The 13,384-nt window shown below is 38.8% G+C and overlaps 1 protein-coding gene across 7 annotated transcripts in view; it reads right to left on the minus strand.

Moving 5' to 3' along the window:
• Positions 1-13,384, minus strand: part of MSANTD2 (Myb/SANT DNA binding domain containing 2) — a 33,909-nt gene that overhangs the window by 7,257 nt on the left and 13,268 nt on the right. Inside the window, exons 2-3 of one of the 7 annotated variants that reach the window (NM_001352401.2) lie at positions 5,296-5,385; positions 965-1,220 (exon numbers count right to left, since the gene is read on the minus strand). The exons of 1 other annotated variant lie outside the window; for it this stretch is intronic. In NM_001352401.2, the coding sequence (NP_001339330.1) occupies positions 965-1,040 (76 nt within the window). In that variant the 5' untranslated portion in view covers positions 1,041-1,220; positions 5,296-5,385. Of the gene's footprint in view, positions 1-964; positions 2,489-5,249; positions 5,386-13,384 lie in introns of those variants that run through there. 5 more of the 7 variants (NM_001352400.2, NM_024631.4, NM_001312921.2 and 2 more) reach the window with 5 other exon arrangements.

Genomic DNA, 13,384 nt, shown 5'->3' on the forward strand with positions numbered 1-13,384 from the left:
TTGGTAAAAAACAGAGCCCATGGACTTTTATCTAAAGCTCAGGGAGCATGTTTATACTGCCAATCCTACTTATACTTCCTTGGGGGCTGCCTGAGTACCAAGGGCTGGGAGCAAGAATATACCCTTCTAAGTGAGCACTCATTACATAACCTCCTGTTAATGTACAATGGCTGATTGATCAGTACCTCCAAATTATGAAATCAAATTATGAAAATAAAAATTGGAGCATGTAATGCGCAAAGAAACAGAACAATCCCACAACTACATATATACTCTTAGTTAGGCCCTACAAGTTTAGATTTGATGACCAGGAATTTTATTTTCCATTTTTAATGCCTATGACTGTATAAATAATTCCAGCTACTGTTGGGATGCGATCCCTTAAGAAGTGTGAAGGAACATGATCACACAGTTCAAATAACAGCTCTATTCAAGATAAATGGAGGCTTCCCCTCATTTTGTGTTCAGGCTCAAGTCTGAGAGAAGACCTTTTCCAAATCATAAACAGAAAAGAAAAATGTATTTGGGATAAAAGAAGGAATTCCTAAGAACAACATCTACAGCAGTTGGGCCAAGATATCTTAGCAGTCATCTTAGAACTAGAAGGTACAGGATATTTAGAATTGCATAGGATGTTACCTGTCACTGAGTGTACTTGTATAGCTCAGAATTAGAAATTCTTCTGTGTCTTTGGGAATCCTGCTGGTAAACAACTTGCCAAATGAACAACACCAAGCACCAGTTGGCAGTTTAAGGCTAAACCAAGGATGCCCACATTGCCCCAAATAGACTGGGACATGCAAATTCATGAAAGACATACAAGGCAGAGATGCCCTTTATGCCTTATGCTGACCACTATAGGGAACAGTACCAAAGATATTTACAGGTAATAAGTACTGGTGCACATACATAAAGGTATATAAATATACACAAACATAAGTATCATATATGTTGGCTTTCTTACCCAATTCCTGATCTGTTGGATAGCCATGGAGATCCTGACTGTGGTTTCCCCAGTCCTCCTGTGAATAGTCCTCCATAGTGCTGCCATCTGACTCCAGCTCCTGGTACAAGCCACTACTGTTAATAAGTACAGGCTGGCAGGGCTGAGCATCCCATCCTCCCTGACCAAACACCTGTTCCAACTGTTCAAATGTGTAACTGCTCTTTCTTTTCCCAACACCATGTTCTTTCACCCGACTGTAACACCTGCGAAGGGTCTAAGACACAAAGTCTTTTGTTATTCCTTTAAAGCTGTACTTCCTCTTCCAGGTACGGACCACAGATATTAATTACTATTAGACAGACACAGACAGACAAACATAGACACATTGTTACAGGAATGCTAGATTTCAAATTCATTATTATATTAGAAAAAAATACTAATTTAGCATTTACTCAAACATGTTATAATTAAAACAATTATTTTGCAATTAATTATCCATTAAACAACAAGAAACATTACAACATTATTGCATGTACCCCATACACATATTTTTATACCCCCACCCCCATTTAAAAAGAATAAGGGGGAAAAAAAACAAGAAATACCAGCCAGCCAATAGGATGCACACCTGCCACAGAAGAGAGAGAGCTGCTGTTGTGCCCAGAATTTGGAAAAAGTGAGGGAAGGGAGGACAGAAAGAAGAATTTCCCAAAGCAAAGAATACCTGCCTTACTCTTGATTAAGAAGGAATGAATACAGGGTAAAAATAATTGCCTAGACAAATTAGCTAGTAAAACATATTACTTACATAGTTGTATTCCTTACTAACTCAGTCTTTGTGGAAGCCGCTAAAATTTAAAACAGAGGTCAAATCAATAATGCTACAAATTCCAGGTCTCAAACATCAATGATCAAGAAACAGTACACTAATACCTACGTCTAAAGCTAGACAATCTACTCGTCTGTTCTACCAACTCAAGCTGCCAGCTAAACAAACCAACAAATGAAGCCAGTGATTTCTTTCTGGGGAAAAGGACGGGACAGAGGGGTGTTATTTCACTTCCTTTTCTGCCATGTGGCACACAGCAAATAAATATCATTATGCAAATCCACAGACAAAACCTGAATAATTTTATTCTCTTGTACAACCCTTCCATTTTTACCATGGTCTTTATTTCTAACACATATTTCTGATTATTAGCCCAGTTTCCTGAATTTAATGGTACATCTTATGCTATCTTATATGGCATTTCAAAAGATAAATCAAGGGCTTAATCCCAGCTTCCAAATTTAGTTAAGTTGCAACCAGTCTCTATCCCATCTCTGCCTCCCTTTGTTCCTTCTAATCTCCCTTCTACTTTACTGAGTTTCACTAATTATTTTCTTGAAATAAGATCTCTTTTCCCTGGTGGCTACCAAATACTTTCTAACTCAACTGTTCAAAAGTAGTTCACCTCAGACTTAATTTGTAGGCACTGCCAGACTAAATTTATCCTAAACGTGAGATTGCTCTCCATAAGCCAATATGTTAACTATTTTCACCAAACTAAAACAACTCTTAATAATATCTACAAAGCCTCCAAGGAAGTTCAGTCTCTTTATTTATATATTTTTTGAGACAGCACTTCGCTCTTGTTGCCCAGCCTGGAGTGCAATGGCGCCATCTCGGCTCACTGCAACCTCGCCTTCTGGGTTCAAGTGATTCTCCTGCCTCAGCCTCCCAAGTAGCTGGGATTACAGGCATGCGCCACCCTGCCCGGCTAATTTTGTAATTTTAGTAGAGACGGGGTTTCTCCACGTTGGTCAGGCTGGTCTTGAACTCCCGACCTCAGGTGATCCGCCCGCCTTGGCCTCCCAAAGTGCTGGGATTACAGGCGTGAGCCACCACACCCAGCCAGGAAGTTCAGTATCTTTAAATCACAGTTGACAATCTACAAGACACTCTATCAGATACTTTAAAAATTTGTCCCTTGAAGCCAGAAATCTAGATGGGTAAAAGGAATAATAAAAGCACGACATGTGTGATGATCTTCCTCACACAAAAACAGAGCAACAATTAAGAGTCTCCCACCCTAAAGCCAGCCGGCCTACCCCCTGCACAAGCATCTGCCTCATTCTCCCTTTCTTGAGATCTCTTCTGGAGCCTCAAATGATGCCTTAGAGAACTGAGGTTTCCAACGATACACTCTTTTTAAAAGTGTTTCTTCTTCCTCTTTGTAAAAGATAGTCACAATTACATAAGACAAAACTTTCTAGAACAAACCAGAAATATGAACTTGGCAAATGTGTGTCATGGGCAAACCTTCCAATGGAAGGAGACAAATGCCTGCGGCAGAGCTCATTTGACTTTCTACACACTCCCCCTTTCCCAGCGCCCTCTGCCCTCCTTGCAGGGATTGGAATTTGAATTCCAAACATCCCTTGCCAATTTATTTTTATCTCACAATGTCTAGTTTCTGCCTCCAAGAACACCCCAACCACTCTTTTCAACTCCTCCAAGGACCGTAAATGGAGAGTCCCAACCATGTCCCTTTCACCCTTCCAAGGCCATAAATGGAGAAGGAAACCATGCCACTGCTCACTACTTACTGACTCCCTGGAGAAAAGCATTCAGCACACACAAGGGCCCAGTTGGCTCTGTTGCTGACGGTTATTTCGGAAGTCAGGGAATAAAACTAACATTCCTTTCAAGAAAGGTGCCACACATATCAGGAAGTGACACAAGCATAAGCAAAGCCACCAATCTCTGGCGATAGACATGGTAGGAAACCACAGCAAAGACTCTTACTCTCTTTGGAACCACCAAATTGAGCTTAATACTTCACTTGGCTTATGTAATTGTGAATAAGGAAACTAGCAGTATCTAATGGTTACAGATATGGAAGAAAAGTCAGGTGACACATTTTACAATTTATCAAAAGACACTAACAGATCTTGCTACTTCTTACTTTGTAGTGTACTTTTGTAATACACTTGAATACTGCACTATGCTAGTATGTAAAATATCTATCAGGGGCCTGAAGGAAAGATGTTTGGTAACTTTTAAATCCATGATAGGAATTTGATGTATTGAAATCATGTTAAAAAAGATTTCCCAACTGATTTTAACTCTCTCAAGATATAAATGCACTTAAGAGGTAACTTCTGGGTTCAGTAAAGACCACAGATCCAAGGAGAGGCTATTTAAATCACATCAACTAAGAAAAAAAAAGAGTAAGAACTGAAACTTCGGCTTGACTGGTACTGTAAGAAGCACTGGGATTGAGTTAAACTTGAGGGAGTTTAGAGATGGATAAAAAGGAACTATGGAGACCTTCCAATTATCACCCACAATAAAGCAAAAGAGGTTACACTTTCCACACTCTAAATTAGCCAAAGCATGGAATTAAGACTGTGCGTGTCCCAGTCCTAAATAAACCCACTTAAAAACCTACTCTAGAGCTGAGATTACAATAATGCTCAGAAAAACGAAGCCTCAATTCCCATTTCAGACAGCTCTCAAACCCAACAAGAACCTCAATTTGGCTTTCTTGGAGAACCATGTCCTATTCAACACAAAAATCTTGCTTCCCTTTCTTCTTCCTTTATTTTACTCATCCTAGAAATTTGTAGTAACTTAAGCTTAATAGTTTCTAAAAATTAAGGTCTGGGGCAGGGGCAGAAATGTGCTTAAAATTATTAAAAACTATTCTATTCACAATTAGAGATTGTAATTTTCCTGACTGTTGGAAATCTCCCCGGTAAATTGACATGATGCTGTTGTCTCCCCCTGGAGGAAGAGTTGTGAGAGAATACTGTATCCTGAAAGAAGCTGTAGGGATAGAGGTCAGGAGGAGTCAGGAAAACCTGGACTGAAGAACTAAAGCATAGGTAACAACTTGATCGGTGGTCAACCCAGAGGAGTTCATGGTATTTGATTTGGAAGCAATGGCAAGAGAATGCTTACTAAATCCACCATGCCAAGTGCTTCATGACTATGAAGGGAAAAGAGCCAGAGAAAAGACTTCAAAGATGTCCCATTACCAAAGCAGGGAGAAAAATAAGATGGCTGACAACTGACAATTTATAGGACAGAGTGAAAGTTTTGCCAAAGTTTAAGATTAGAGTAAAAGGAAATGAGAGAATAAAAAGATGACATTCATTGTGGATGAATGTATGGGGAGTCTATGGGGGAGGGGGAAGGTAAACAAAGGCAGGAGTTTTAGATTGGCAGGATTGGGGGTTTAACGGCAGCAATGTAGAGAAAGACCCAGGGTTACAGTACACGTAACATTAAATACAGTGCACAATGCAGCTATCTTGCCAAAGTAAGTAAATCCAGTATTGGGTTGTATAAGCAGAGGAATCACATGTAAGCTATGAAGGTGGCTCTTCCTCTCTATTCAGCACCGGTGAGGCCACAGCTGGAGCACAGCATTCAGTTCTGGGCATCGAACCAGCTACAAGAGAGGGAAATTGTAGAGTTCAGAAAAGGGCAAATAAAATATTGAAAGGCTTGGAAAATAAGATCTATAAGCAGGGACAGTGGTTTCATCAAAGCCCTTCCTGACATTACCTAAGCTACTTTTGGGGTGAAATTAAGGTTTATTTTGCTTTAGTGTCCTCCAATCCTTTGACTTTCAGGAAATGGGAAGAATTAAATTCTTCCCTGGTAGGGCAAAGTAGAAAACAAACTAAATAAATCATAAAGGCATATGCCAACCAATTCCAGTATTGGCTTAATAATTTTCTCAAAGTTTGCCCCATTTCATACAATCATAAAATATTCACCAGGACAAAAACACTGTTCTAGCTAACTGACCATACATGGAATGGAGCACTATAACGTGGAGGAACAGAAATAAGGCATAACAGCTATATAAATGTATTGTTTAGAAAACATTGGCTTGATCAGTCTAAGATGTCAGATGAAAAATAAAGTCAATCTGCAAGGAGGACAGCTTAGTTATAATAGCAGGAAACAATGTTACAAGAAAAAACAAGCAGTGAAACAGATTTTCAAATGTAGCTGTCAAGCTGGCCACACTGGAAATGGATTACATAGTTATCTTAATCCACTGCCAAGTACACATGATAAATTTGAGATTCCTTTTACCCAAATGATTAAAGAGCACACTTATTCACAAACAAGGCCTTAAAAATCACATATTGTGCTCCACGAGAGATGAAGAAATTACATTGGGAGTAAATTTCCAGTGACTAATTTTCTTATAAAATTGTTAAAAATGATACCTCAGACTAAAGCAGATTTGTATTTTGAAGCAAGATCTTTGCAAAATAGATCTTTCTTATACCTTTAAAGTTACTATTGTAACTGTTAAAACTAGTTGCTCTTAGTTAATTGAGGCAACGAAACACCATTTAATATCTTTAAGAAAAACATTAATTTCTTGAGCTATATTTTGTTACTGTGAGCATAAAAGTAGGAAAGACAATATCTTATGTAGCATACATAAATAAAAAAACATTTCTGCACACAGTAAGAAAGATGTTAAGAATCTAGCATAAATTTCTATGTACATCTTTTGACACAGAGCTGTAACTAATGATTAGGAAATTACTTAAGGCAAAATCCATCTGGGGCCAGCAGAACTTTTGCTACCTTTTTTCTTAGGTTTTCTGTTCATTGACATCTGACAAACTGACTTGCCAATCCCCTAAATCCTTTAAAACCAACCAAACAAAAAAGCCCCAACCAAGTAAAACCAAAAAGAAAAATGTAGCAAACTTGTTTCACACTTACTGCTACAGAACAAGTTTTGGCAAATACAAAATGTTTTTATTCTTCAATCTTTTGCTTTTCCTTTCCAGGGCAGAAGTTCTTAACCTTTTTGAGTCATGGATCCACTCCTCAGAAAAATGCACACATACACAACCTGTCCCATACGATTTCAAGGGGGTACCTGGACTCACTAAAGAACCCATACAAGAACGTCGTTAAAAAATTCTGCTCTGCATTATGTAGTTCTTTCCTCCATAAAATATAACATACATTAGTTTGAAACCCTAAAATAAGGTAAACTTGTATCTTAGATTTTATAGGAGATTCTAAAGATTGGAACAATTACTTTAAGTACAATTATCAGTTCACTCACTATTCTGTTCATTTAGATAAAGCAGCATTAATTTCCTTTAAGAGGTAAATTAGCCAAATTCCCGTTTCTTGAAGGAAATAATTTCTATCAGTAAAAGCATACAAGGGCCGGGTGCGGTGGCTCATGCCTGTAATCCCAGCACTTTGGGAGGCCAAGGTGGGCGGATCACCTGAGGTCAGGAGTTTGAGACCAGCCTGGCCAATATGGCATAACCCCGTCTCTACTAAAAAGACAAAAATCAGCCAGGCGTGGTGGTGGGCACCTGTAGTCCCAGCTACTCGGGAAGCTGAGGCAGGAGAATCACTTGAACCTGAGAGGTGGAGGTTGCAGTGAGCCAAGATCGTGCCACTGCACTCCAGCCTGGGCGACATGAGGGAGTCTCTGTCTCAAAAAAAAAAAAAAAAAAAGTGAAAGCATACAACGATATTACTTTACTCTTCTAAAAAATATAGCACTTCTTTCTACCTGCTGGGCAAGAAATCTTTTTTCTGAAGTAATAATTAAGTGATATTAAATGATTCGTTATGCTGATTATCTGTTCCAACTGCATCACACAGTACTTGATCACTTATTGTCTGATTAACTTATCGATATAGATGCCAGATAAACTACCTCAAGTAACAACTTAAAACAGAAAAACACACATCCAGAAACAAGTATAGTAAAGTAAGTCTTGACTACGTTCCTTAGTAGTCTCTATGGCTAAGCTCTCACATCTTCCAGCTTTAACACTGCCTAATGTCTAAAGGGTCTCACAGGAATAGGCAATGTCTACAATAATTCAATCCTCAACCCAATGGGATCACAGTCTAATTTATGACTCTATTAAAACTGTTCCTATTGTGATCATCAATGTCTTTTTTTTTTTTTTTTTTGAGACAGATTCTCGCTCTGTCGCCTAGGCTGGAGTGCAGTGGCACAATCTGGGCTCACTGCAACCTCTGCCTCCTGGGTTCAAGTGATTCTCTTGCCTCAGCCTCCCGAGTAGCTGGGACTACAGGCACCCACCACCACGCTCGGCTAATTTTTATATTTTTAGTAGAGACGGGGTTTCACTATGTTGGCCAGGCTGGTCTCAAACTCCTGACCTCAGGTGATCTGCCTGCCTTGGCCTCCCAAAGTGCTGGGATTACAGGCGTGAGCCACCACGCCTGGCCAATGTCTTCTTAATAACTGAATGAAGCTCAAACTTTGTCCTTAACTCATTTAACTTCCCTGCAGCATTTGATACTCTTCATCACCTGCTGATATCACTGTCTTTGGCAAATGTCTCTTTATAACACTTTTTGTAATATACTGATCCACTAAAGGTGGGTGGAATTGCCTAAGGTTCTAATTACAAACTAGGCTCCATCTTCTAAACATTATGGAGCCAGAATCAGTGGCTCATGCCTATAATTCCAGTACTCTGGGAGGCCAAGGCTGGAGGACGCTTCAAGGCCAGGAGTCAAGACCAGCCTGGTCAATATAGCAAGACTTTGTCTCTACTTAAAAAAAAAAAAAAAATTAGTCTGGGTGTGGTGGTGTGCACCTGCAGTCTCAGCTACTGGGGAGGCTGAGGCAGGAAGATCCCTTGGGCTTAGCAGGTAGAGGCTGCATTGAGCCATGATCACGCCACTGCACTCCAGCTTGGGCAACAGAGTGAGACCCCTGTCTCTAAAAAAAATAAAAATAGAAAAACGTAATACAAGTTCTGAACATAAAAGAACCTCAGAGATCATCTAGTTCATCTTCCTCACTTAACAAATGAGGAAGCAAGGCCCAAAGATAAGTATTCCTTTAAGAGGAGTTTGGCATATGAAAATTATCAAATGCCACTTAAGAAACTTTAATGTTTCCTAAGAAGTTATTTCACTAGATTGTAAGCTCCATGAGGTAAGGATTTTATCTATCTTGGTTGTCTCTATTCCCCAAGCCTAGAACAGTGCTAATCACATGAGGCTTATTCAAAATATATATTTATTCAATACATAATTAAGCTAATTTTAAAGTAGTAAATCACTAGCAAGAGGATAAAATTTTTCTTAGCAAAGAACATCAGAAAATTCATTGCTTAACTAAAATAAATTATCAAATCAATGAATCTTGATGGGCGGGGCTCCTGAAACCTTTTGAAAATAGCTGGGCAAGGCTATTTTAAAAATATCTATCATTCTTGTTGTTATACCTTTCTTTGGGCGGGCAGGCCACGTGCCAAAGGGAGCTCTGCAGCCCTGTCCAAATTTTATTTCTTATGCCTTACAAAGTAAACAAGCAAATGAAATAGTCAAGAATGTAAGGTAGTTCTGTCAAAGACAGGAAGGGGGAAAGACTCGATTGCTTTCTGATTTTAATCGGGTCAAACAGAATGACCACCACAAACGAAGAGATCTTACCTCTCTGGAGCCTCAGTCTTTGTGGGGAACTGTCCAGGACTGAATCCTATCAGCTTGCACTTCATTCTGAATCTGGCTATCAATGACTCACTCACTTTGTGTTTATAACTGGTCAATACTGCCTCCATGAGAAGAGATTCTTGCCTAGAATATATATTAATAATTCAGGGCCAGGTCCAGTGGCTCAAGCCTATAATCCCAGCACTTTTGGAGGCCAAGGCAGGCAGATCGCTTGAGGCCAGGAGTTCTAGACCAGCCTGGCCAACAGGAGATACCCTGTCTCTTCTAAAAATACAAAAATTAGCCGAGTGTGGTGATGCACACCTGTAGTCCCAGCTACTTGGGAGGCTGAGGCATGAGAATTGCTTGAACCCAGGAGGGAGAGGTTGCAGTGAGCTGAGACTGTGCCACTGCACTCCAGCCTGAGTGACAGAGTGAGACTCTGTCTCAAAAAATAAAAATAAAAAATAAAAGAAAGTAAAAACAAAACTTTAAAAAAATATAAAATTCAGGAAATTTTGATTGTCAATGAATATCAAGTTCTAAGTTTTCTAGGTTCCTTCATGCTAGCAGCTGAGGGTCGTGCCCATTCAGATTACTAAGAAAAAAACCCTAAAGAAGGACAATACTAATTGTTAAAAACAAACATCTTCCATGGCTCAAGGAACTCAATTCATGTAACCATAAAGCTTCTGACCCTATGCTATGTGTGCTTCTCATGGACACTCATACAATGATCTCAGATGAGCAGTAATACTTGTAAAGGTCACACCTAGCATGCATGTTCATGTATAAGAGCTTCTTTAGGGTACAAGAATCCTTCAAGACAAGGAATTCTCAAGTGCTTTTCTATTTACAAGAATACAGGTCAAAAAAGTAGGGTATACTGAACTATTTCAGTATATAAGCAGCAATAGGTAGTAGCTACAGTCACCAAAGATAGCAGATAACACTATTTGTCTAGAACTTCCTCCTCACCTGAAAGGGAAAAAAAAAAAATCAGTTGTTGGCAAAGAACTGACTGGGATTAGAGGCTATTTTCATTTGACCTCCTACATCACCTCTGAAGTTGCTAAGTCAGCACCTCTTTGAATCTTTTTCTCAGTTCACACCTTGGGGGACTACATCAAAGAGGTATTCAGATACACTAAAAATGATACTTTTATTAGTATGTGATATCTAAAACACATGCAAGAAAATTATCTAAAATATTTCTGGCATAGCAGGGGAGAACCAGTCTTCGTTAAAGTACTCCCAAACACCCTCCACTACGAACTAATTATTCCATGGACAACCATGTCTAAAAATTAAACCCCCCCCCCGCCACCTCAAAAATCCGCACACAGCTTTACCATTACAACATCGTATTGCTTCCCAAATACGAAGGTGTTTCCATTCATGAGACCAATGTTTAAAAGGGAGACTGTGCAGAGCAGGCTTCCCCTGAAGCAGTAGGCCACTTTATTCCTTTCGTCTGTTGACCATGTGATTCTCTCAGTTCTGTAGTTATTTTCTCACTAAAAACTACCATCTATAGTGCAAAGATAACCTATAATAGAGATGTTTCCATTAGTAGATTTTACACATTTGGTTATGAGAAAAAGAATCCTGATAGGCAGATAAAATCATACAAAAACTAAGGTTATCTGAAATCTTCCCTCAAGACCTCTGGGTACAAACATTAAATCCAGATTCATTAACTTGTGAAAATGTAAACATTCAAAAAATATATATTTTTTGCATTTACACAGTGTAAACTACAGGTCACCAATGCAAGAAAAGAATACATCTTCATATCCTGACACATATCCTTTCTAAGAAAAACCTGAAAATAAGCATGTTTTATTAAAAGCAACTATCCTGGGTGATCTGAACTTAGTTAGGAAGTTGTTAGAAATAAATTCAGGCAATCATAACTATTTTTATAGCTCATTTGGTAGAATTTTTATATTCTATTCTTAGCTTTATAAAGACTGCTAAGAGAAATGACCATATGAAAAAATATTTCTGTACCTTCTACAAAAACCAAACATTTTCCTTACATGGCTCAACGTGCCATGTAATGAAGGTAAATCATAGCTACCATTTCCTGAGTGCCAACTGAGTGCTGAGATTTGGGCTAAGCAATTTACATGATCATTCCTACTTAATAATAATGTTAAAAGAGAGTGTCCCTGGAAAGAGAGTCGGAGGAGACTGTGCAGGTATGCTGGGGAAGGCTCTTGGGAACCACACATGTGAGAGACTGAGAAGCAGGGCTGGGCACAGAAAGAAGTTAAAGTAGAGTTGCAACAGCAGCCTCTGCTAATCCTACAATGAGGTATGGAACTCAGGTTGTCCTTCAGAGTTATACCGAATTGAGGCAAGGTTGGACCTTGGTATTTCAGCACTGACCAGTCATTGGATTCAGGCTGCCACCAGAGAGTGGGGGGCCCTCACCTTGGGTGAGACAGTTGCCTTGGGCAGAGTGAAATTCTGAAGAAATCAACCAGAAGCCACCAGCAGTCAGCATTCCAGACAGCTGGGGGGGGACTAGCGTCTCATTCCTGGAAGAGGGATCTGGGTAGCATGTTATATATATATTAAGATATATGTATCTTATGTATATATTACATATATATTAAGATATATGTATCATATTTATATATGGTACACCCCTATTTTACAGACAAGAAAATTATTAACAAGGCAGAGAAACATTAAGAGCTTATCCAAAGTCACTTTCAGTGTCTTTAATGTAAGTTCATCTTTGGTTTCAAAACTAAGACCTGGTATACTTCTCTTCAGAAGACACTGAAAATTATGGCAAGTCACTGTATTTACTTTTTTGCTACCATTGCCAGGAAGCTCATAGCTCATTTTAATATTTAGTTTAAGTAAACATATTTACCTAGGTTACTGCTATTTGCCCTGCATCATTTCTTCTTTTTTTTTTTTTTTTTTTTTTAGTATGGGGTCTGTGTTGCCCAGGCTGGAGTGCAGTGACTATTCATAGGGGCAAGCATTATGCACAACAGCCTCAAACTCCTGGGCTCAAGTGATCCTCCTGCCTGAGCCTCCCGAGTAGCTGGGACTATAGGAGTGCACCACCACGCCAAGCTGGCATTCTCTGTTTTCTTATTTCCTGATTCTACTTTTAGCTTTCTCAATATGCTGATATGTTTTGTTTGGTATATCATATATTAAAAAACAGTTCATCTCATCCCCATCATCTATCTCTAAGAAGCACCCAAACCATTTACACATTAGGTAAACAATGGCAGGCATAAGGTAGTGAACATTCCATAGCCTCCTTTGATAAGCCACATCCTTACCTGCTTTTACTGTCAAAAAGTAATTCTACATTGTGTTTCTGCTCCTATAATTCAAACTTACTTCTTTTTGGAGGAGTTGGTGATCCAATAAATGCCATCATTTATCTGAGATCTTGAATGAATGACTGAATGAATACAATTAAGTCTTTACTTATTAGGTTTCAATACTTATCTTAAATTCTTCCTCAGGACTTCCAAATCTCCTTGTGTTTCTAATCTTAGGAAACGATAAATTATCTCCAAGAATTTAAAAAATTCTTTTCATTTCAATGACAAGAAATATCAGCATAATGCTGTCCATCTGGGTGTTACTATATGATTTTGGTATCGTATTTATGAATGTTGATAATCACGTCGTTGCCAAAAACATGACTTCAATTGTCAAAATTTAATAAAGATGGGCTGATTCAGAAAAAGGTGATATAAGCAAGTGGTTAAGAAGAGCATGGGTTCCAGAGAAACACTGCTTGGTGTCACCACCTGCAAGCTTTGTGACAAATTAATCTATCTGTGCCTTAATTTCTTCATCTATATGGTGGGGCTGGTAACAGTACCTCCATCATAGATTTGCTGTATTAAATGAGAAAACAGCATTTAAAAGTGTCTGCTCAATTGCCTGCACTCAGTAAATGTTTGCATTATTATTATAATTAT

This window comes from Homo sapiens, chromosome 11, assembly GCF_000001405.40.
Source record: "Homo sapiens chromosome 11, GRCh38.p14 Primary Assembly".
In the NCBI taxonomy this organism is placed as follows: Eukaryota; Metazoa; Chordata; class Mammalia; order Primates; family Hominidae; genus Homo; species Homo sapiens.